The sequence below is a fragment of the Homo sapiens genome, chromosome 3, assembly GCF_000001405.40.
Source record: "Homo sapiens chromosome 3, GRCh38.p14 Primary Assembly".
In the NCBI taxonomy this organism is placed as follows: domain Eukaryota; kingdom Metazoa; phylum Chordata; class Mammalia; order Primates; family Hominidae; genus Homo; species Homo sapiens.
The window spans coordinates 127,014,976-127,039,197 of NC_000003.12; the positions used below are offsets into that span (position 1 = coordinate 127,014,976).

The window sequence follows — 24,222 nt, forward strand, 5'->3', positions numbered from 1 at the left end:
GTGCCTAGGCCAGCTCCAGGGCTCCCTGGCTCACCTTGGGCTGTGCCTGAGAAACCTGGAAGTACTGGCTCTGAAGTGCAGCTCCCGGGCATGCGGGCTCCTAGTCTGGGGAACTGTCTGTGGGGGTAAGCAGGCCAAGTGGGGCCTGTCCCCATGTGGCCCGAGGGGGACTTTCCTGAGAGTTTCAGCAAGTTCCCTCTTCCTGCAGACACCAACCTTCTACCGTGTGAGCCCCTCCCGTGGGCCTCTGTCAGGGGGCACCTGGATTGGCATCGAGGGAAGCCACCTGAACGCAGGCAGTGATGTGGCTGTGTCGGTCGGTGGCCGGCCCTGCTCCTTCTCCTGGTACGGGGTGCAGGTGGGGGTGGGGGCCTGGCTGCCCCTCCTCCTGTTTCAGATGGTTGCATGCCCCTTCTTGTTGCCTGGGCAACGGGGCTATGGAGAGCCTGGCTGGGGTGATCACTGTGAAACCCAGAGGCGGAGGTTACCATGGAAACAGGCTACCTCCAGAGTGGTAGGACTGGGCGGTGATGGGCGTGGGGCCTGCCTTTGTGGGGCGGGGCAACTTGGCTGCCTCTGCCCTGGTTCTTCCCTGTGGGGAAGGGGGGAATCCCTTGGGTACAAAATAAGAAGTATTTTTTAAAAATTTTTAAGAGAGAAAACAGAAATCTTAACAAAAGCCCTGAGGCTTGAAGTGGATAATTTTAGATTAGGGATGATAATGGAATGTCCCTTTAAATATTTTCCTATGGTAATTACCCGTTATCAGACTAATCATTGGTGTCTGCAGCTGAGGGGGCCTGGTGGCTGTGGGGCTCCTGGCAGTGGTGGAAGAACTGAGGGTCCGGACCCAGGTGTGGGCTATGCCTGGCTGCCTGCCCAGTGGGGTGTCCCCGTGACCCCCACCCAGGCCAGCTCATCTAGTCTCCTCACAGCCCCCTGGGATGCGGGGATAGGGCGAGGTATTCCCACTGGGACAGGTGCCGAGAGGGAAGGTGTCTGCCTGGCCCAGGGTAGTAGGAGTGGGTGCTGGGCTCCCAGCACTCGGAGCCCCGGCTGAGTGAGGCTGGCCCTGAGACAGGCAGGGAAGGTCGCGCCAGGGCTTAGTCTCGCCAGCCCTCCCCAGGGACAGAGGGAGGGCAGCATGAGCCTACCTCCCAGCCTGGCGTGCGTGGGACGGGCCTGCTGCCTACTGCCTCTGGGGAGGCAGAGGCCTGGTGGGTGTGGAGCCCTGGCCAGGGTCACCAGGAGTGGGTGTGGGCGACAGGGAGGCTGTGATGAAAGCAGACCTGGAGAGGCGGCAGGCCGGGTCCCAAATGCCAGGCTGGGCAACAGTGGGGGCCTGAAGGGGCTGGGAGCCAGGGCGAGGGTAGGACAGACATGCACAGCCCTGGGAGGGAAAGTAGCGGTGATAGTATGCAGCCACCCAAGGCAGTACCTGTGACAGATGGCGCTGTTCCCACCGTCCCTCAATGCATCTGCATTCCACCTGCCTGGGTTCCACCCGTGTGCTCCTCACTGTCCCACTCGGGCACCTCCAGGAGGAACTCCCGTGAGATCCGGTGCCTGACACCCCCCGGGCAGAGCCCTGGCAGCGCTCCCATCATCATCAACATCAACCGCGCCCAGCTCACCAACCCTGAGGTGAAGTACAACTACACCGAGGACCCCACCATCCTGAGGATCGACCCCGAGTGGAGCATCAACAGGTGGGGCCCAGCAACACCCATTCCCTATCCCCAGCTATTGAGAGCAGCGCTGAGCCAGGAGCTCTTCCACTGGGCACTTGGCGGTGGCCCTCCTGCATGCCGGGTACTATCCTGCCGGGAAGCACCCCTTGCCAAGAGCTTTTACCTGTTTCCTGTCTTTGGGGAAGGCAGGCTTTGCCTGGCTGAGCTGTGGCCCACGTTTCCAGCTCACTGGGCCCCAGCATCATTTGGTGACCCCCCCACCCCTGTCCTGTTCCAGCGGTGGGACCCTCCTGACGGTCACAGGCACCAACCTGGCCACTGTCCGTGAACCCCGAATCCGGGCCAAGTATGGAGGCATTGAGAGGGAGAACGTGAGTCCCTGCCCTCAGCTGCCCACCTCGGTCCAGGCCTTCACCTGGGATGGGGCTCCTGCTAGGAATACCCGTGTCCCTGCCCCTGCCCCTACCCCTGCCCCTTCCCAGCTTATGCCAACCTTGGCTGTGCCTGGAGACCCCTGGGGAGGCACCTGTCCTGCCTGGCGGGTAGAAGGTCTGGCTCTGGGTTGCTGGCTGCACACACCTCTCCTTCAGGCCACATGTCCCTGGTCCACGTCGGGTGGGTGGCCCAGGACCAGCCCTGCTAGTGCCTGGCATCATCTGTGCAGGGAGCAGGCAGCCCCCAGGCCAGGGGCTCTGTCACTGGGAGCTGCCGGGCCACTCGCGGAGGTCCCGCCCAGCATCCCCACCCTGTGTCTCCAGGGCTGCCTGGTGTACAATGACACCACCATGGTATGCCGCGCCCCGTCTGTGGCCAACCCTGTGCGCAGCCCACCAGAGCTGGGGGAGCGGCCGGATGAGCTGGGCTTCGTCATGGACAACGTGCGCTCCCTGCTTGTGCTCAACTCCACCTCCTTCCTCTACTACCCTGACCCCGTACTGGAGCCACTCAGCCCCACTGGCCTGCTGGAGCTGAAGCCCAGCTCCCCACTCATCCTCAAGGTGGGTCACCATTGCCCGTAGGCTGGGCCAAGCCAGGGAAGAGGCCCCTCGTCCTGGGCTCTGGCTCACCCCCATCTCCTACAGGGCCGGAACCTCTTGCCACCTGCACCCGGCAACTCCCGACTCAACTACACGGTGCTCATCGGCTCCACACCCTGTACCCTCACCGTGTCGGAGACGCAACTGCTGTGCGAGGCGCCCAACCTCACTGGGCAGCACAAGGTCACGGTGCGTCTGTCCACCGGGGGTGCAGAGCTGGGAGAGCCATGCCCCACCTGTGGACCCTGCCCCACTAGCACAGCCCCAGCTCTGACCTTGCCCGAGACTCACCCCTAGCTCAGAGGGCGCCCGGCTCCAGTGCAGGCCCTGCCGTAGCCTTCAGCCTGCCACCTCCTTGAGCCCCCCGAGACTGCCTACCCACCCTGAGCCCTTGCCATGCCAGTGGTGCCCTGGCTGGCCAGGCGCCTGCCCTGGGTCCCAGTGTCTCCACCCTGGTGACCACTCTGTGCCCCTGTCGGTGGGACCTTTCCCACAGGCAGGTGTTGGGGGTGGGTCTTGCCCATCGGGAGGGGCTCCCAAGCTTTGTGGAAAGCATGGGAAGCTCCTGAGTGGCCTCCACCCACTGGCAGGTGCGGGCAGGTGGCTTCGAGTTCTCGCCAGGGACACTGCAGGTGTACTCGGACAGCCTGCTGACGCTGCCTGCCATTGTGGGCATTGGCGGAGGCGGGGGTCTCCTGCTGCTGGTCATCGTGGCTGTGCTCATCGCCTACAAGCGCAAGTCACGAGATGCTGACCGCACACTCAAGCGGCTGCAGCTCCAGATGGACAACCTGGAGTCCCGCGTGGCCCTCGAATGCAAGGAAGGTCTGTTGGGGCCAGGGCTCACTGGGGCAACTGCCACCTCCGAGCCAGGCCCTGGCCTGTCCCCACACCTACTTCCCACCGCCGCCCCCACCCTGCTTCAGCTCAGTTTACAATGTTCCTGATAGCCTTGCTGTGCCAGAGCTGGTCCCAGGGCAGTGGGCGGGTGCCTGACCAGGGCCTGGCCCTGCAGCAGGTACCACCTCCTTGGGGTGCTGCTTGCGACACAGAACCCAAAGCCAGACTGTTTGCATTTGTATCCCAGCTGGGCTATAAGGCTGAAGGTGGCTACTTACCCTTCTGTGGCTCAGTCTTGTCGTCTCTAGAGTGGGCACAATGACAGTGCCTACTTTCCCTGGGTGCTGGGAGTCGTGGTGGGTTGGCTGGTGCCAGCGGAGCAGCAGAGAGGGGTGCTTCCACCATGCAGCAATGGGGAGCCCTTGCGCTTTGGCAGTCCCTGGGCACATAGAGATCTTGGCCTGAGCTGACCTTTGTCCTTGAGATGTCTATAGGGGGAGTCATGCCACACCATGCTCCTGATCAGGGCAGGTGTGAGTGGCAGAAATCTGTTCCATGCCGGGCGAGACTTTGAGCGTTTGCAGATAGTAACTCACACATGTTCAGGGCTCTAGGGGGCAGATACTAGGAGTGTTCCTGCTGCAGTGTAGGACCTTAGCCATGTGGTCCAGCATGGGGTTGTCATGAATTCCACTGGGACTCAACTGGGATGGGGTGTTTTGTTTGCACAGGACTCAGCCAGTCTTAAAATGCAAAGTTCTGCATCCTGGGAGCCCTCTCAGTCCCAGACAAACCTAAGTGGCCCTGTGGTGGGCTGAGGGTCACCCTACCTCTTGGGCAGCCCTGGTGGGACTGGAGGCAGGTGTGTGTTGGGGCCAGGTGGGAGGCAGGTGGCCTGGACCTCCCTTGTGCTCCCGCCTGCTGAGGCTGGCTGTCTGGCGAGGCTGGCGTGTGTGGATGCAGTGGCTGGTGGCTGCTCCAGGCCAGCCAGGTGCAGATAACTAGACGCCTGGCAGCGATGCCCAGGAGACGAAGACTCCAGCTCTTAATTAAACCTGTCAGATGTCCCCCAGAGCCTGCCTGGCACTCCTTTGGCTTCTGATCAGATAGCCTGATCCTCGGGCTGCCACAGGACTGACACCTCACAGCTCTGGAATGTTCTGTCAGGGCCTGCCTGCCTTTGTTCCTGACAGAGGCAGAGCTGGCCCTGAGCAGGGTGGGCCATGTTGAGGGTGCACCAGGCCCGAGATGTGCATGCAATGGTGTGGGGGCTTGGGGACAGCCTGCAGCCCTGGGACCTCACCCCTGGCCGCACTCCACCACCTCACAGCGGGTGGAAGGAGCCCGAACTCCAAAGCTGCTCTACGCTTAACTGCCAGTGTCTGAGATGCAGGAGGCCCTGCCCAGCCTGCCCCTGGTGCTGATGCTTTCTCTGCCCTTGTCTTGCTTGATCCTGTGGGAACCTTGCAGAGGAGAGTTACTATCCCTGTGCTAGGGCTGTAGTAGCTGGGGGACGAAGAGGCACAGTAGTTTCCTTAAGATCACGAAACCAGTAAGTGTCAGAGCCAGGATTTGATGTAGGCCCCAAGAGTGGGAGGGTTGGGGCATGGAGCGGGGCCACCAGGGCATGCTGCCCCTGACGCCGCATCTGGCCACAGCCTTTGCAGAGCTGCAGACAGACATCCACGAGCTGACCAATGACCTGGACGGTGCCGGCATCCCCTTCCTTGACTACCGGACATATGCCATGCGGGTGCTCTTTCCTGGGATCGAGGACCACCCTGTGCTCAAGGAGATGGAGGTAGGACCACTGGCTCCGGGGGGTCACAGGAACTCAGAGGCAGCTGCTATCTTCTGCCTTTGAGGCTCCTTGGGTGCTGATGGATGGTATGGGGCAGCCTGTGTGGCCTGGGGGAGGGTCCAGGCCTGCAGGGCTCTGGGCTCAGCCAAGTGGGGAGCAGGTGCTGGGAGGCAGAACCAAGACCAGGCAAGCACAGTGGAGCCCTGAGCCCTGGGGTTGGGGCAGGGGAATGGCCAGCACGGCTCTGCTCCATAAAGTACCTCCAGAGGGCAGGAGGAGGCTCTGGCCCCAGGGCCTCCGTGGGATGCCAGGCCTCATCCCAGCAAACCACTTGTCAGCCTGGGCTTCTGGCACCTCCCCGGTGGCTGCCCCTTGGGCCCTGCCTCTGTTGGGGGTCCCGCCTGCGGCTCCACTGGCCTGGTCTCCTGGGTGGCTCTGGATGCGAAGCCTCGCTGGGCAGGGGCCGTGTGCTGGGAGGTGCGGGTGCCTGATGAAGTCTGCTATGGCGGTTTGGGAGGGGAGCATGTGGCTGGCATAGCACCAGGGTCTCAGAGAGTAGGGCTTTGCCCCGTAGACCTTGGCAGCGAGCCTGGCGAGGGAAAAGAGGGCTGGCTCCCACACCCCTAAAAGGCCCCCAGCGGCAGGCAGGCTAGGAGCCAGTCCTTGGCGAGCCACGGCCAGGGGCTCGGCAGGTTAGCTCAGTCACACTCTCCAGCTGAGGGCACCCCCCAACCGTGTGCCTTGGATGTTGGGGAGCCCATGTCCCTTGTGGTGACTCTGTTGGTGGGAAGTCCCTTTTGAGCTGATACTGAGCAGACCTTCCCGCCTTGGGCCCTGGGCTGCCTGTGGCTGAGTGCTGCCATCCTGTTCCTGGGCTTGCTGCCACACGGGGCTACACAGCCTCCCCAGGTTGTATCTCTCTTTCAGTGCCTCCATTTGCTGTGTCTGTCACACTGTCTCTCTCAGCTGTGACTGTGTATGTTCTGCCTGGGCCATTACCTGTCTGCCTGATACCTGTTGGCCTTGGCTGGGAGCCTGGTATCACTGGTGGCCTCTGGGCTCTGCCTAATAGGGAACATATTGCCCTGATAAACCTTAGTATGAACAAGAGAGAGAGAGTAGGGACCCTGGAGCCAGCTATGCCTCTACTCCACTCCTTTTTCCTACCTGCAGTGTGGCCCTAATCAAACCTCTTCCTGTCTCCAACCTTGTGTCCTCATCCATGAGATGCAGAGACTGGTCGTGCATTGGTTATCATTGTCAAGGCGGAGGGAGATGGTAGACATGCACTCCTGGTACCCAGTGGATGGGGGCATTGAGTTGGACTTCCTTTGAGCTGCTGCAGGCCCGCTGCAGGGGTTGCTGTTCAAAGGGCCCAGTCACGGAGAGGGTGGCGTGAGCAGCCCCTCTCATTCTGCACCCAGCCGCACTCGTAACACCTTTGTCATGTCGGCTTGCAGGGGCTTCTCAGGCTGCCACAGGGACTCTGTGGCCAAGGCTGCCCTGATGGCAACAGGCAGTGGTGGCAGCACCCAGGTCGTGTCCATTTTGCTAAGGACAGGTGAAGCTTGGGAATGACCCGCCGAGCTGAGGAGTCAGGGCAACTTGTCACTTGCCTTCCAGGCCTGTCCTCTGATGGGGCCCTGCCTCACCAGCCAGGCCTGGACAGCCCCTCACTGGTCAGCTTGGGGGCTGGGGCTGGGTGCTTCTCTGTGGTCTGAGCTCTGTGTGCTCCCTCAGGTGCAGGCCAATGTGGAGAAGTCGCTGACACTGTTCGGGCAGCTGCTGACCAAGAAGCACTTCCTGCTGACCTTCATCCGCACGCTGGAGGCACAGCGCAGCTTCTCCATGCGCGACCGCGGGAATGTGGCCTCGCTCATCATGACGGCCCTGCAGGGCGAGATGGAATACGCCACAGGCGTGCTCAAGCAGCTGCTTTCCGACCTCATCGAGAAGAACCTGGAGAGCAAGAACCACCCCAAGCTGCTACTGCGCCGGTGAGCCTGGGGGGCACTGGGGTTGGGGGAGGCAGGCCCATGCCTCCAGCTTTGGACAGGTTGGTCTAGCAGGCCCAGAGACGTTGCTGTGGCAGTTCCCACCGGGCAGGGGTGGGAGGACTCACCTGGCCTCTGAGGCTCAGCTGCCACCTCCCTAGGTACTGATAGTGAGGACCCAGGCTGGAGTCTCCATACACACAGGCCTGGGCTCTGGGCGAAGGACTGGGGTCTCCATGGCAGCCCCTGAAGCGCCTGCTGCCCACTCATGTGGGTGCCTTTCGAGACCTGACCTTCGGTGCTGTAGGAAGGGGGGCAGGGTGGGGTGGGATCGGTGAGTGAGGCCTGCAGGGGCCCTGTGCCTGCTGGACAGCTGGAATGACACCACTCTGCCCATATTCTGTGCTCCCCAGGACTGAGTCGGTGGCAGAGAAGATGCTAACTAACTGGTTCACCTTCCTCTTGTATAAGTTCCTCAAGGTAAGCAGAGGCGGGAGGAAGCAGGTGTCAGAGGCAGGTGAACAGCGGGAGGGGAAAACGGAGAGAGGTGGGGATTAGTGGGAGGTGCTGGAGAATGACAGCTGGTGGGGTCTTGGTCGAGTTCTGGCTTGGGCCAAGGCCCCTGGGCATGCAGCCGCTCTCAGCTCCTGGCTCCCGGCTCCCTCCTCCCTCCTTCTGAGGCTGTCAGGCCCTCACACAGCCCACCAAGGTAGGTGTGGGAGTTCGGATACAGGCTCTCAGTGCCCACAGCTGGCCTGGGCTCAGGAGGGTGGGGGCACCCTGGGCAGGGGCCTCTGAGGGGCCAGCCTGGGGGTGCCTGAAGGCTCCAGTCCACCACCTGTCATGGGGACAGGTGACCGCACTGGGCTTCCCCTGTGCTGTCCATTCAAGCCCCTCCCACCCCCCAGCAGAAGGATGCTGCCGTCCTCAGAACAGGAACAGGGTGTAGGCCAGAGACTGCAGGCCAGGGCCCAGGCTGGATGGGGATCTGGGTGGGCTTTATCTGGGCAGTAAGCAGTTGAATTGCTGTCTGCACTTTCGATGTTGGGACTTTTACAGACTCAGGTATCTGGCTTCTCTTGGAAATCTGAAGGCCTGGTTAGCCCACTCCTGAGAGGTGGGAGGAGCCCGGTGTGTGCATGGTGAAGTGCATGCTCCTCGCCTGGCTTCAGTGGTCCCTGTCGCTGCTCTGTGGGTGAGGGTGACTGACAGTGTAGCCCAGTGATCGAGGGTGGGAGCTGGCACTGACTGCCTGGGTTCGATTCTCCTGGTTTCCTTATGGAATCCAGGGATGGCACCTCTGTCTCTGGGCCGTGGGGCTTTCAGGCCTCCTGCAGCCAGATGCTGCTGAGCTCAGGTGATCAGCGCACAGATGCCTGCACAGAGCGGAGTCCTGGCCAGACATCCTCGCTGCCGGGAGAGACACTGGACGGGAAATACAGCAGACAGGCAATGGGGCAGGGCCGAGCAGGGAGGGTGGGATTCGAGCAGAGGTCTGAAGACCAGGCGGGGGGAGGGAAGAGAGTCCCAGGCAGAAGAGGCCACTGGGGAGAAGGCCCCAGGTGGGATAGGCAGGGGCTGGGCTTGTCTGTCCTGGGTCGTCTCTGGAGGTGGGACATTTATGTGTATATAGCAGTCCCTGGCACCTAGTAAGTGCCCAGTAGATGATAACATCCTTAGGCAGAACTGGAAGCAGGTAACACAAAGTCGTGCGTGTCCTGTAGAAAGTACAGTTCTATGAAGACTGCATAGTATGTGTGCATGCTGGGTAAGCTGGGCTCTGTGAGCCTAAAGCAGCAGGCGTCCTGGGTGAGGTGGAGAGGGCACCGCTAACCTGAGTCCCTGTCTGATCCCGATTCTCCACACCCACAGAGACAGGGCTCAGGGCAGCAAATGCCTATAAGCACCGACGTTGGGTGTGGATTCTCTTTCATGCCAGGATATAGGGGGCCAGCTTCAGCCAGCGCAGAGTGTGGCCCCACAGGGTATTATAAGCAGAGAGGGTGGCAGTGGGGCACTGTGGAGGGGTTGTCTTTAGGCCGGATCAGACATTCCATGGAGAGCCGGGGACATTTGGGACAGGCGCTGAGGGATGTGTGGGCAGTGGAGGGAGGGAGAGGGAGGCCAGTCTTGGCCAAGGGAGCCATAGGAAGGGGACACAGGGAGGAGGGAGGCAGGGGTGACCATTTGGGTGGGAGTGGTGCAGGTACAAGGGGTGCGGGCTGTGTGTTGGGGGCTTCACAGCCCATGCCCATGACCCCAGCCCACCCTCGTTGTTAGTGGGGTACCAGTGTCGGGGGCAGGCAGGGGCCAGGAGCTGTTAGATCTCCTTAGGTCATCACTGCCCTCCTCCAGTTCTAGGAGGACCCCTATATATGCAAGGGAGGACACGTACTGGGCGCAAGGACATGGCCTGAGGCTGAGAGGCGCAGACAGACATGCTGGAGCTGGGCGCCCCCTGGATGGGACTGAGATGGGCCTAGGGCTGTTTCCATCCACATAACTGGCCAGTGACTTTTTGTTTTTGCCACCATATCTGGGGTTTTTTTGTTTTTGTCTTTTTTAAGATAGATGTTATTGTTTAGAGCAGTTCCAGATTCATAGTAAAATTGAACAGAAGGTACAGAGGTTTCCCATGCGCCCGCTGCTCCCACACATGCACAGTCTCCCCACTGTCAGCATCCCTAGGAGAGGGGTGCATTTGGTCCAGTCAGTGAACCTGCCAGGAGACATCTTCACCACCCAGTGCCCCTCGTTTCTGTGCGGGCTCACTCTTGGTGCTCTGCATTCTGTGAGTTTGGATGAACGTAGGATGCCATGTATCCACCGTTATAGTGTCACACAGAATAGTGTCGCTGCCCTAAAAATCCCCTGAGCTCACTTGTCATCTCTCCCTCCCCCTGAGCCCTTGGCACCCGTTGATCTCATTGTCTCCATAAGTTATGCCTTTTCCAGATGTCATGTAGTGGAATCGTGCACTGTTACCGTAGCCTTTTCAAACTGGCTCCCTTCACTTCGTAATCTATTTTGAAGGTTCCTTTATTTATTTTCATAGCTTGTTGCTCATTTCTTTGTAGTGTGCCACAAACTTAAAAAAATTTGTTATGGTGAAATACACATGACATAAAATTTACCATCTTAACCATTTTTAAGTGCACAGTTGAGTGGTATTGGATGCATTTACAGCGGTGTTGGCCATGGCCACCTGCTCCATGACTCTTCATCTTGTGAAACTGAAACTCTGTCCCCATTGAACACCCACTCCTTGTTCCTTCCTCCCCAGCCCCTGGAACCATTCTACTCTCTGTCTCTGTGAATCTGACAGCTCTAGGGACCTCATATGAGTGGAATCATGCATTGTTTGTCCTTTCGTGGCTGGCTTAATTTCATCAGCTTAATGGGGAAGCAATCCAGGTGTCCATCGACAGATGAATGAATAAGCAAAATGTGGTCTGTGCATACAATGAGATAGTAGTCTGCCTTAGAAAGGAAGGAAATTCTGACATGCTGCAACATGGATGAACTTTGAGAACACAAACTCTTTTTAAACAACCCAAATCCTTTTCATTCCTTGCTGTCTTTAGAAACAAAAACTTTAACTAGAAAAGGAACCCATGCCATTTTAGCACATGTAAACAACCTGGAAGGGAGGATGGAGAAGTGCTTGTCGTAATGTCATTTATTGAACTGCCCATATTATCCTTCTATTTGAAAAGTGGCACTTTTTGTTGGGCAGTTTTTGCACATTCCTGAGTGGGGCTGGGAGGAGTCTGAGGTCTTCCTTTTCCCCGTCACTGCACGAGAGATTGAGGCTGCGACAAGAAAAGGACTGGGCCTTCCTCTTCCCTGGCCTCTGAGCTCTTGGAACCTCCTTTGCAGCCTCTAGGCTGGCCTGGCTGAAGAAGTGGGTGGAGTGGGGCGGGGCCTGCTGCCTGGGTTGAGTGTGAATGCCCGGCTCAGCCTGAGCCTTCTCTGGGTACACCTGGCTTGTATGGGGCAGGTGCTTTGGGGTCAGCTGGATCTGGGTTCAGATCTTGGCTTCTCCAGTTTCTTGCTGTGTGACCTTGGGCCAATATCTGCACTGCCCTGACCTTCAGAGACTAGCTGCCGTCCTTTCACTCTCTGAGGCCAGGCCTGGGAACCCTCGGACAGGTGTCTGACTTTGGGAAACCCTCAAAGGCTTCCTGTCACATTAATGGCTCTCCATCCGGATCTGCACCCCTTTTCCTCCTCCTTCGTGGCTAACTTAATGAAACCAAGTTTGCAAATGAAACATAATTTCATAGACAGACATGTTGTTGGAAGGTCTGGGATGGTCTTAACAGCTGTCTCTCTAATTACCGCAGATGCTAACGAGGTGCCTGGAGCCTCTGGTTACAGGAGCAGAGCTGCTGTTTGTTTGCCAGGGCCGGGTAGGAGGCAGGGCTGCCAAACCTGCCCCTCCATTGAGGTGTACACACACCTGAAGGCCCTTGGGCAGGCAGGACCTACAGTGGACCCCATGCCCAGGCTCTGGGCGGGCCTCGCCTGTGTGGCCAACTCACCCAGCCCAGACGTGAACGTTTCCCAGGGACAGCTCTCCATTCACTCAATTCATCCAGCAAGTGTCTGTGATGCCCCATGCACAGGCTCAGCCAGTGCTAGCAGTAGGGTATAGTGAGCAGGCCAGGCAGCTCCCACTCCAGAGGGGTTGCCAGGGGTGCACAGGATCCTTCAGAGAACGACAGATGGCGGGGAGACTCAGCGAGGCAGTGGTCGGGGGTACGTGTGCTGGGCGCTCCCCAGGAGCCTTTCTGAAGAGGGCACATTGGGTTGGGTCCACAAGGGCCCATGAAGATGCCAGGGGAAATTTCTGGTTGTAGAGGCAGCAGTTGCAAAGGCCCTGAGGTGGGACAGGAGGCGGTTCTCATGCTACAGCGCGGGGAGCCGGAGGGTGAGGGGTCAGGTGCCCGCTGAGGGCCCGGGGCTGTGCTGCTGGCCCTGTGCTGTGTGCTTGGGTGCTGGTGAACCTCCCTGGGTGGGCAAGCCTCCTCAGGTGGGTATGTCAGTATCCATGACACACCATAGTTGTGTCCCAGAGTAATATGGGGGCCCAGCTGGGTGGTCCCTAGGAGGCCAGTGGATCACAGTCACACTTGGAGTTGCGTAGTATGGGGTCCGCTTGTGCCATGGGCGGTGGGCCATGGGGAGCTTTGTCCTGAGCACCTCCAGCTGGGGAGCAGGCCCCTGGGAGGCTGGAGCTAGGCGGGGATCCTGCTGAGACCAGGGGAGACTTCTGGGTGAAATAGGCCTCGGCCCTCCCTGATGCAGGTCCCGCGTGCCACGCCATGTTCCTCGATACACTACTGCGCCTCCTGGCTCATGTGTAATTTAGGGTTTTCATGTGATATTTGTGGGATGGTGGGTATGTTTTGTTTCCTGATTTTCTTGCAGTCTCTGCTGGGCTTTGGGACTAAGGCTGTACTTGCCTCCCAAAGAGTTGGGAAGTGCTGCTCATTTCTCCTTGCCAGGAACACCATGGCTGGCACTCGACGGGTGGAGGGGCAGGTTGGGGGTAGGCCCGGGGGTCCTGGCTGCAGCCTCATGCCGCCACCCCCGCAGGAGTGCGCTGGGGAGCCGCTGTTCATGCTGTACTGCGCCATCAAGCAGCAGATGGAGAAGGGCCCCATTGACGCCATCACGGGTGAGGCACGCTACTCCCTGAGTGAGGACAAGCTCATCCGGCAGCAGATTGACTACAAGACACTGGTGAGCGTGGCTGCCCTCTGTCCTGGGTGCCCTGGTGCCCCCCACCCCCCAGTTGTGGGGCTGACGCTGCCCCCTTGCTCCACCCCGCCCGCAGACCCTGAACTGTGTGAACCCTGAGAATGAGAATGCACCTGAGGTGCCGGTGAAGGGGCTGGACTGTGACACGGTCACCCAGGCCAAGGAGAAGCTGCTGGACGCTGCCTACAAGGGCGTGCCCTACTCCCAGCGGCCCAAGGCCGCGGACATGGACCTGGGTGAGCGGGCGGGGCCACGGCTGCCCGGGGTGTGTGCTGGAGCAGAGGGGCAGGGCCATGGCCTAGTACTGAGCTTGGCGGGGAAGGCCAGGCCAGTCCTCCACACCAGGCTGGTCTGGAGGGCAGTGGAATGGCGAGTGGGCTGTCCAGTCCCAGGTTGGGTATAGAGGGTGGCTGCCCTGCTCTGGGCAGAGACTCTGGGAGGTGGTGGGTTCCAGTGCACTCTGGGAGGCAGTGGGCTCTTGGAGCCCTGAGGGGGATACTCAGGCTCATGAGAGGGGCAGGTGGAGCCATTGAGGGCCAGAGGGGATGGGACGGGTTTGGGGTGGGGCCCGGAGTCCTGCTGCAGATGTGACTGGAGAGGCTGGGTCCCCACAGAAGCCTCGGTGCCAGGCTGAGGAGTTGGGGCCCTAAGGCTTGCGGAAGGCAGGGCAGACCCCCTTAGGCTGGGGCTGCTGTGGCAGATTGGGAGGGCTGTGGCACATTGCAGGGGACTATGGCAGGTTAAGTGTGCTGCAGCAGGGGCGGAGGTATGTCCCTGCCCTGTGCTGGTGCTGAGAGCTGCAGGCAGGCCCCGTCCCACTACACTGCTGTGATGGAGGAGGGAAAGAGGGCCCCAGCGGCCCCACCCTCCAGCTCCCTCCTCCCCCAGAGTGGCGCCAGGGCCGCATGGCGCGCATCATCCTGCAGGACGAGGACGTCACCACCAAGATTGACAACGATTGGAAGAGGCTGAACACACTGGCTCACTACCAGGTGGCTCCCGGCCCTCCGACCCTAGCACAGGCCTCCCTCCCCTTGGGGCTTCCACAGCGCAGCCACCAATGTTTGCAGCATGTGGGCTGGACAGCAGCTGGATCTGTCAGGGAGAGGAGGGGAGGTGGTCACTTATGTGTGTGGACCGTCCCAGGACTCGAGCTGGGCTTGTGGGATTGCCTAGCATCCCTGGGCTGTCCTGATATAGAGTTCCAGACTGAGTGAGGTGGCTGCCTCCAGGCACAGCACTAGGGTGTCACCGGGGTCCCCAGCCGGGGAGTGGGAGCCTGGTGGTGCAGGGGCACCCTGGTGGGTCACAGGGTCCCTGGCCCTCTGCCCACAGGTGACAGACGGGTCCTCGGTGGCACTGGTGCCCAAGCAGACGTCCGCCTACAACATCTCCAACTCCTCCACCTTCACCAAGTCCCTCAGCAGATACGGTGAGGGGCCAGGCAGCGGGCGAGAGGGCAGCGCATGGGTCCCTGGCCTGGGCAGGACGTCCCCCGGGCTCCCACGCTGCAGCAGCCGGACGGGAGGACCCAGGGGCAGGTGTCAAGCCTGTCACTCGCACTCTTGGCCTTACCCTCCAGCTCTGGAGGCTGCGCCTCCTCGCGACTGTGTGTCCGTACACAATTATGCCACCTCTGTGGTGTCATCGGCTGCCCCAAAATCCCACATGGGTGGGGGTGCCATCCCCAGCTTTCAGATGGGGAAACAGGCTCGGGCGGGGGGTGCGGGGTGCCAGCCAACGCGGGCGCTGACAGCCTGGTGCTGCAGAGAGCATGCTGCGCACGGCCAGCAGCCCCGACAGCCTGCGCTCGCGCACGCCCATGATCACGCCCGACCTGGAGAGCGGCACCAAGCTGTGGCACCTGGTGAAGAACCACGACCACCTGGACCAGCGTGAGGGTGACCGCGGCAGCAAGATGGTCTCGGAGATCTACTTGACACGGCTACTGGCCACCAAGGTGGGCCTGGCTGGCAGATGGGGGCAGGGGACGCTGGGCCAACTGAGCTCAGAGAAAGTGCCAAGCCCAGAGCAAGGGCCTCACCCCCATGCTCCCATGGCCACTTGCCTAGTCACCCAGGAGGTGTAGGCAGCCAGGCAGCGCCCTGGGGCTCAGTGTCCCTGCCTGCCCCCCGCAGGGCACACTGCAGAAGTTTGTGGACGACCTGTTTGAGACCATCTTCAGCACGGCACACCGGGGCTCAGCCCTGCCGCTGGCCATCAAGTACATGTTCGACTTCCTGGATGAGCAGGCCGACAAGCACCAGATCCACGATGCTGACGTGCGCCACACCTGGAAGAGCAACTGGTAATGCAGGGCAGGGGGAGGAGGGGCATCCCCCAGGGCCAGGCCAGATGTGTTCCCAGGGCCCTCGCCCTGTTCTGATCCGGAGCCCCCACTTGGGGCTCCCTGGCGTGGGGACACAACCCAGCAGGGGCATGGCGGGCCAGTCCTGTGCTAACTGGCCTTCCCTATCTGCCTGTGCCCCTTGACCCACGGCTCGCCCTCTGCTCCAGCCGCTGAGCCCCTCCCACTGCTGCAGGAACTGTGTGCAGGTGTGAGTGGCTCTGGGTGTGCACAGCTGTGCGGACATGAGTGTGGGCTGCAGCGTGAGAAACAGGGCACAGTGGACCAGCCCCAAGCCGGCTGGTTGCAGTGATGAGGGCAACAGGGACTGCAGGTACTCCTGGTAGTCTTTAGTGCGAGGAATTTACAGCCTCCCCATTGCAGTGTGGGGCCAGGCCAGAGCCTGCTTACTGAGGCGCAGAGGCCGAGCCACTTGCCACGGTCTCACGGAGCAGCTGGAGTACGGAGCAGGGCCTGCCCAGCCTGCACCGTGCACAGCTACACCAATGTGAGCTGGGGCTCTATGAGGCTGGGTTTTGTTATGAAGAGGCACCCAGCCTCTGAGTGGCCTCCCTCCAGAGTATCTGCCTCCCTGGCCAGCCAGTCCCTTGCTTTCCTCCGGCCTGGCCCACCCCTGGGACAGTGACCTGCTTCTTCCCTGGTCATGGACTGCCCAACTCAGCAATGTTGGCTTCCTCTCTGCCACACAGGCAGGCCAGCCCTTGGCCTCACTCCTTACTCAGGACCCCCAAGCTCTGGTCTGTGGCCCCCTGCTCCGGTTGGCACACTGTAGCCACACCCTAGCCCCTGGAGCGGGTCCCTGCTGTGTGTGTGGCCCCCACCCCAGCAGACAACCCCACCATTGCCTGCTACAGGGGAGCCCCTCTCTGTGCACCAGGCCCCTCTACCTGCATGGCCGAGGGCTTCTGGGGTAGGACTGCTCCCCCACACCTGGGGTCAGGTGGATGCCCTTGCCTGTATGGCTGGACCCTGCTTCACCAGGAAGTGCCCCTCCTCACCGTGCATCCTGCTGGGGTCTCCCCCCAGTTCTGTGCACACTCTCCACTGTCTTAGCTCCCCTCTCTCCTGGACTGTCCCTGCCACTTCTGCTGGCTCCCGGGCCAGCAGCCACCCCCGACTTGGTCTTGTCCATCCCATGTGTTGCTTCCCAAACCTGGGATGCAGCCACCCCAACCTGTCCCAGCTCCGCCCACTGCTCGCGGAGTCTAGGATTTAAATGAAGTGTCACGAAGCCCCTCTCCTGGGCCATGCTGATTGGGCACAGCGGGAGGTGGGGCCTCCAGGGACGCAGTGTCTCCAGGTCAGCATGTTCTTGGAGAATGTTCTGTCACAGTGGAACATTCTAGACCCGTGCTGTCCAGGGTGGTGGCTCCTGAGCCTTTGAAATGGCACTGGTGTGGCTGAGTGTCTGGGCTCTTCACTTCATTTAAGTTAAGCAGCCACGTGTGGCCAGTGCTGCCAGGCAGCCCAGCTAATGGCAGTCCCTGAGGTGGTGTTTGGGGCACAGAGGGCTGGTCTCTGCAGGAATGGGTCCCCTGGGCCGGAGCTGAGCTGCAGGTCTCAGTGCAGGAGCCATGAGTGCAAGCCAGCATGCAGGCCTAGGAGGGTGGTGGCTGTGTGGAGTGGGCCCCTGAGGGCCTGGTCACATCTTGCCCTTGTGCAAACGAGTGCGTTTGAGCACGCCTATCTCATGATGCTCTGCGTGAGATGCAGGTGGTGGGGGCAGCACATCTCTGGTTGGGTGGCAGGGGACGGCCTTCACTTAACCATGGGCCCTGCACCTCTGTGGGCCTCGTTTCCCCGTCTGCATGGAAAGCCATGCCCACTTTGGATTCGGAGCTGGGAGGGCCACAAGGTCACTGCTCAGGAGGGAGCAGAGGCCTATCTGAGCAGCGCCTGGACTCTCGCCTGCAGCCTGCCCCTGCGCTTCTGGGTGAACGTGATCAAGAACCCACAGTTTGTGTTCGACATTCACAAGAACAGCATCACGGACGCCTGCTTGTCGGTGGTGGCCCAGACCTTCATGGACTCCTGCTCCACCTCTGAGCACAAGCTGGGCAAGGACTCACCCTCCAACAAGCTGCTCTACGCCAAGGACATCCCCAACTACAAGAGCTGGGTGGAGAGGTAGGTGGAGGGTGCAGGGGTCGGGGGCAGGGGCCCGGGGGCAGCCTGGACTCTGCTCATGTGCCCACCTGGCCACTCACCTGCAGGTACTATGCAGACATCGCCAAGATGCCAGCCATCAGCGACCAGGACATGAGTGCGTATCTGGCTGAGCAGTCCCGCCTGCACCTGAGCCAGTTCAACAGCATGAGCGCCTTGCACGAGATCTACTCCTACATCACCAAGTACAAGGATGAGGTGAACACCGTGGGAGCCCACAGGCTGGGCTAGGAGGGCTTGCCGGCCCCTGCCAGAGTCACCTGCTCTGCCCCGCCCTGCCACTCCTCCCTGAATCTCTGGGCTGCCACTGACCACCTTCACTCCTCTGCACCCTCTGGCCACCTGGTTCCTTGGGGCCAGGAGGGAGCCTGCCAGGCCGAGCAGAGAAGGCCGTGGTGGAGTCACTGTGTGCAGCCATGTGGGGTCAGGGGTGGGGAAGATGGGATGGCAGCTTCTTCCTGAGGCAGAGGGTGTGTGGGTGGTGAGCAACTTCCCTGAGGGGCTCATTTCAGGGTTTTCTAGTCTGGGCCAGCATCTCCAGGGCTGGGCATAGGCTCTTGGCAGAGCTTTCCTTTCAGTATCTTTTCTGCTGACTTGGAGTGAGGCCACGTACATGGACCTGGGGACGGGGTCCAGGAGGTATCCAGGAAGGAGAACTGGCTCCTGGGCCGCACAGGATGGGAGCACGGGGCCAGAGGGCAGGACAGTCTCGGCCTGTGCCAAGGCTCTGAGGGCTAAGAAGGCCACGGGAGTGAACCAGAGCCACCCTGGGGAGGCCAGGGCAGGTGCAGCAGAGGCAAGGAACCTTCCCCAGGGTGCCACAGGAGGCAGACAGGAGGCAGAGGGCTGTCCTCAGGCAGGTGCCCCAGGGGAGCAGAGGAGCAGCCAGAGACTGCATGTATTAGGGTGGGGAGTGGGGACAAAAGCCTGGGGTCCTGGGGCTCACCAGGGAAAGGGGAGCTGAGGCTCTCTGGGGAGCTCTGCTTTAAAGGGGCACAGAAACCCCAGGGTGTGAGGACTGGGTGGGGACATGTCAGCAGCATGGCCAGGCAGCCAAGGGATCAGAGCCTGCTGTTTTAGGGGGTGAGAGTAGGATGATGACAGGGGCAGGGCTCATTCTCCATATTGGGGTCCTGGAGGGTCCAGGCTCACAACCAAGGTCCTTTGGCCAGGGGTAGATGGGGTTGAACCTCTGGCACCTACTCTGGAGGCATCTGCCCTGGGCCTGCTGAGTGCATGGAGGCTGGTGGCCCGGCATGCTGACAGTTCTCCTGGCCCTGCAGATCCTGGCAGCCCTGGAGAAGGATGAGCAGGCGCGGCGGCAGCGGCTGCGGAGCAAGCTGGAGCAGGTGGTGGACACGATGGCCCTGAGCAGCTGAGCCCCAGCTGTGATCATCCAGCATGATGCAGCGTGAGGACAGCTGAGCAGGGACCGGGACAGCCCTCACCGCATGCGTGTGGAGTGTCCGGTGGTGCTCGGGCCGCCGCAGTGCAGCGACTGCCCGGCCCTCCCTCCCCTGCCTCACCCGGTCGGGTCCCGGCTCTTCCTGTGTGGAGGTGATGGTACCTGCCACACCACAGCTGCGCACACAGCTGCTTGCTCAGGGGCCGGGACAGCACTGGGTGCTCAGGCTGGCCAAGGACCTTCATTGCCTGGCAAGAGCTGCCCAGTGGCCTTCATGGGAGAAGGGCTGACCTCTGAGGGGCTGAGGGGTGAGGCCAGGGCCCTCCAGGGGGAGGGGTAGCCAGCTTGGGCTGTCCCCTTGAGACCAGGACAAGAGGCTGGGGGTGTCAGCATTCCCAGCTTTCCAAGCTGCCCCCAGGCGGCAGAGTCTGAGGGTCCCGGGGCCCGGTTGGCAGCTGGAGAAAGAGGCAAAAAGCCCGTAGCCGGGCAAGAGGAGCTCAAGTCGGTCTGGGCCCGTTGCCACCGACTCCCACCTCCAGCACCCATGCCCGCTGCACCGCTGCCATCCTCAGATTCACCGCGTGCTCTGCGCGGCCGAGGCCGGAGCACCACATCCACCTCGCCCCAGAGAGGCTCTGCTCCCTCCTATGGAGGGGCTGTGGGCCAGGCTGCTCAGACTCCTGGGTGGCTTCCAGACGGACCGGGCAGCCCCTCTCCGTCCTCAGGGCTGTGCCTCTGGGAGCCACTGGGCCAGGGGCCCCGGGTCGCAGAGAGCACGTTCCCGTTATTTATTCCCCTCCGCGTCCTACACAGGCTGCCCTGGCAGCTGTCTTCAAGGGTAGGCTGAGCTCCCCACCCTGGAGCCCCTGAGGGCGGCCCCTGAGCACTCCTCTCTCTCCACTCTCTCTGTCCCTGCCCCAGCGGCTTCCAGTGTGGCATCTCAGCAGTGTCCTGGCCCCTCCAGAGCAGTGGGACATCTGGGGACTGTTTTTGTGTTTAGGGGAAAAAATTCTGCTGCACTCTGCTTGGGCCTTGAGGTCTGTGGCAGGGCTCCTCTGGCCCGCAGTGGCCTGGATCTATCTGGGCCATGAGTGACGGGCAGTGACCAGAGGGACTGGAGGCCAGCGGTGTCCACCCTTGCCCTCAGCAAGAGAGAATGCATTCTTAAAAGAAAGCTGTACATGTATATATATGCATATATATATATGTGGCTCTAGCCTCAGGCTCCAGCCCCAGTGGGGTACTGTACAGTTAACTGAAGAAGAATTTTAAAGACGATTTGAACAAGAAAATGAAGGCAGTGGGAAAGCAATGCCAAATGGTTGTGGAGAAAGTGGCCGGAGCCTCCCTGGAGTGGAGCAGCCCTGAAGCCTGTGCCCCCCGACCTGCGGGCCGCTGTTTTGGTTTGACATGACAAGGAAAGGACTTCCTGCTGACCCTGAGAGCCTCTGGGGTGCCGCGGCACCACGGGGCATGCATGATTGTGCTAGCGTTTAGTCTGAGTTGATCTTTTTAAAACTGCAAGTGTTGAATACTAGAGGTTGTTAGACCCTTTTTTATGTTTTTTAATTAATCAGTCACTTGTAAAAGCAAACAAGCGGTCCATCCCCTTTTCAAGGTCACTTTTTTGATGGTACCGAAGATCCCATGGACATTAAGGGACAGCTAACTGTGGCCAGACTCAGCCCCATGTCCTTGGCCAGGCCCAAGGAGAGGACTCGGCCCCATGGGGTGTGCCAGTCTTGCAGTCCGCCCCAGCTGAGTAGCGTGAGCCAGATGACGCCACAGAGACCCGCCTCTTCCCTGAACGCGGGTCGGTGTGGAGTCAGTGACTGCTGACTCAGGGAGCTCCTTGGCCCCGTGGGCACTGTGCCAGGGCTGGGGCCTTCTGCTGCTGCCACACCCAGCTCAGGCCTGGGCCAGCCCCTGCCCCCAGCCCACTGAGGGGGTGGGCTTACTCCCTGGGCAGTCTTGGGGGCCAGAGCTGAGGCCAGTCCATATTACAGTGGCTGGGCTGTTTTTTTCAGTAGCCCCTAGCATTGGCTGGGATTCCTGTTCCTGGGTGCGCCTCCACCTCCCTTCTGATGTTTCCTGGCTATGGTGGGGTGGGAACCTCAGTTTCCCCCAAAGTCTTCCCTGGATGCTGGCTTCAGGTTGAAGTCCCTGGTTCTTCCAGTTCCTCACGGGTTAGGTAGGGGCTCCTGCATCACCTTCAGAATCCAGTTCCAACCCCCACTCTCCTTAGGCCTTGTGCTCTGCTCTGCCCTGCCAGGCTGCCCTTGTCCATGTGAGTAGCATGGGCGGGTGGTGGGGACGGCAGTGGTGATGAAGGGGGTGCACCACAGGCCTCATGAAGCAGTTCCCACATGGGCGTGTGGCTGGGGCGTGGCCACCACAGAGCACATGGCTGTGTCTAGGCGCAAGCACTTTAGCAGTATCTGTTTACATGCGCAAGGATCAAGCCGACTACCTGTGCTGTCTACTGGGACAGCAGTCTCCGAGCTACTCCGTACCTCCCTCTGCCAGGTCGTGGAGTTAGGCCCCAGTCCCTACTTGTCACTGGTTCCCACTGTGCTCCTAACTGTGCAGCACCTGGGAGCTCTGGCCTGGGGCTGGAGGCCCTGGTAGGAGCTGCAGTTGGAGGCCGTTCTGTGCCCAGCAGCGGTGAGCGGCTCCCATGGGCCCTGTGTCTGCAGGGAGCCAGGGCTGCGGCACATGTGCTGTGAAACTGGCACCCACCTGGCGTGCTGCTGCCGCCACTTGCTTCCTGCAGCACCTCCTACCCTGCTCCGTGTCCTCCCTCTCCCCGCGCCTGGCTCAGGAGTGCTGGAAAAGCTCACGCCTCGGCCTGGGAGCCTGGCCTCTTGATATACCTCGAGCTTCCCCTGTGCTCCCCAGCCCCAGGACCACTGGCCCCTTGGCCTGAGGGGCTGGGGGCCCCACGACCTGCAGCGTCGAGTCCGGGAGAGAGCCCGGAGCGGCGTGCCATCTCGGCTCGGCCTTGCTGAGAGCCTCCGCCCTGGCTTTCTCCCTGTCTGGATTCAGTGGCTCACGTTGGTGCTACACAGCTAGAATAGATATATTTAGAGAGAGAGATATTTTTAAGACAAAGCCCACAATTAGCTGTCCTTTAACACCGCAGAACCCCCTCCCAGAAGAAGAGCGATCCCTCGGACGGTCCGGGCGGGCACCCTCAGCCGGGCTCTTTGCAGAAGCAGCACCGCTGACTGTGGGCCCGGCCCTCAGATGTGTACATATACGGCTATTTCCTATTTTACTGTTCTTCAGATTTAGTACTTGTAAATAAACACACACATTAAGGAGAGATTAAACATTTTTGCTAAAAGCTCTTGGCTCCAGGTTTTCCTTGCTGGGAAGCAGGGGCGGCCGCAGGAGTGCAGCCACATCCCAAACACGGAAGCATATCTCCCTGGGAGACTCAGCCACACCCAGGACAGATGGCCACACTCTGTGAGTTGGGTGCGCTCAGCCCAGGTGACACATTGGAGCCCTTGGCGGAGACTAAAACACCAGTGCCTGACCCCCACTGGAGCCTTGGAGCTTCAGGGGTCTGAGCGGTGGTCACTTTTAGATGCTTCCCAGGCGATTCTCCCGTGACCCCTAGCTCAGAGCAGTGGCTTCCAGCCCATGCCGTGAGGCAGGAATTCCTGGGTGCCTTGTTAACTAAAATCAGATTCTGACCCCGAGGGGCCCATGAGCGACAGCCTGGGGGAGCTGAGGCTGCAGTCCTGGGCCCCCTGCCTTCAGTAGCCAAGGCTGGAATTGTGTTTCCCAGACTCGCAGCCAAGGAACCGGGTTTGAGAAATGTTGGTCTTTCCAGCAGAGACAGGCTATGCTGCTTCATCTCATGAAAATGTGTACAGATACTAATGATGGAGGTGTGGATGCAGCTTCTGCCAGTGCATGGCTTTGGTCAGTGGCCCCGTCCCTGGGCTCATTTCATCCATGGCTCAACAGGGGTGGCTGCTCCTGCCGCAGAGGGTGGGTGCAGGGTCAGGTGTGACACATCCCCAAGGGCCCTGGGCACCTGCTCTGCAGCTGCGCCTCCAGGCAGACCCCAACCTGGACCGTCTGAGCACTGCCTGTAAGTGAACTCACTGGGACTTCCCGGCAACCCTGGGAGGTTAGGGGCAGCTGCACCTGCAGCTGAGGAATTGAGGCACACAGAGGTTGCACAATGTGTCCCAGCCACATGGTGGTAAGCAGCAGCCCGCCCAAACGTAGGCCCTTGGGACCCCAGGCCCTCCCCACCGCCCCCAAGCTCCCACCTGTCTCCCACCAGCCTCTCCATGAACTCGTTCCCAGGGCTGACAGTGGCCCATAAGTCATCAACAATACCTCCCACTCTCAAACAGGCGCATCTTGACAGTGGGGCTGCAAGCACAAGCTCTGTGCCAGGCTCAGTAACTCAAGAGAAATCAGTGTAATCACCACGAAATTGTGTCGGAAACAAATTTAGCAAATGTGGTCCCGTTTAGGGTGTGACGCAGCCTGTTCTCATGGCTCAGTCCCCTTCAGCTTTTTTCCGGCACAATCAGCCCATCCTCAATTACCCTCATTAGGCCTCCAAGGGCTCCAGCCCATCAGCCTGGAAGCTGAGCCATCTCTGAGCCGCAATCAGCGCTCGCTGTGCGAGTGATCGGGCGCAATTACACAGCAGCGGTGATGGGGCCTTCTGATTGCTGCTTGAGTGCGCTGGCTCCTGAGGGTATTAAACCATCAGCTATTAATGCTGGTGGCTCTGAGCAGGGCACCTGGATGGGCTTGCTGCAGAGCAAGGGCGAGGCCAGCCTGTGGGCCTGGGTGGGATGGAGGCACCCTCCACCCAGAGCAGATCCAGAGGTGACTTCAGACTTCCCACCTGGACCCCAGAGCAGCCACAGCTCAAGAGCAAACACAGGCTCTGAGCAGAAATAAAAAGTAACAGGCCAGGCTAAAACCTGATACAGTGACTATAGATGGTGTCTTGCCCTGAAGAAAACTGGTGGCATGGGAGGGTGCCCACCTGGCCAAGTGGGCAGGGAAGGCCTGAGGAGGGATGGAGGAATCGAGGCTTGAGAAACAAGGAGCCAGCTGAGGTGACATCGGAGAGAGCATTCCCTGTGTCCAGAGCAATGGAAGAGGCCAGGTCAG

At 60.5% G+C, this 24,222-nt stretch overlaps 1 protein-coding gene across 1 annotated transcript in view, besides 1 other annotated feature; it reads left to right on the top strand.

Moving 5' to 3' along the window:
• PLXNA1 (plexin A1) overlaps positions 1-22,414 on the top strand; it is a 54,275-nt gene extending 31,861 nt beyond the window's left edge. The window contains exons 15-32 of the mRNA NM_032242.4: positions 209-345; positions 1,542-1,709; positions 1,969-2,062; positions 2,450-2,689; positions 2,774-2,917; positions 3,319-3,553; positions 5,227-5,369; positions 7,110-7,366; positions 7,777-7,843; positions 12,965-13,111; positions 13,206-13,365; positions 14,018-14,121; positions 14,465-14,561; positions 14,899-15,089; positions 15,268-15,437; positions 17,412-17,624; positions 17,711-17,861; positions 18,947-22,414. Coding sequence (NP_115618.3) covers positions 209-345; positions 1,542-1,709; positions 1,969-2,062; positions 2,450-2,689; positions 2,774-2,917; positions 3,319-3,553; positions 5,227-5,369; positions 7,110-7,366; positions 7,777-7,843; positions 12,965-13,111; positions 13,206-13,365; positions 14,018-14,121; positions 14,465-14,561; positions 14,899-15,089; positions 15,268-15,437; positions 17,412-17,624; positions 17,711-17,861; positions 18,947-19,042 — 2,814 coding nt within the window. The 3' untranslated portion in view covers positions 19,043-22,414. The remainder of the gene's footprint in view (positions 1-208; positions 346-1,541; positions 1,710-1,968; positions 2,063-2,449; positions 2,690-2,773; positions 2,918-3,318; positions 3,554-5,226; positions 5,370-7,109; positions 7,367-7,776; positions 7,844-12,964; positions 13,112-13,205; positions 13,366-14,017; positions 14,122-14,464; positions 14,562-14,898; positions 15,090-15,267; positions 15,438-17,411; positions 17,625-17,710; positions 17,862-18,946) is intronic.
• Positions 120-399: an enhancer, noted in NCBI's record as "active region_20450". NCBI's record gives its function as "activates an Ori minimal core promoter by ATAC-STARR-seq in GM12878 lymphoblastoid cells {active_cell/tissue: GM12878}" and the evidence as "EXISTENCE:reporter gene assay evidence [ECO:0000049][PMID:35858748]".
• Positions 22,415-24,222: the final 1,808 nt, after the last annotated feature.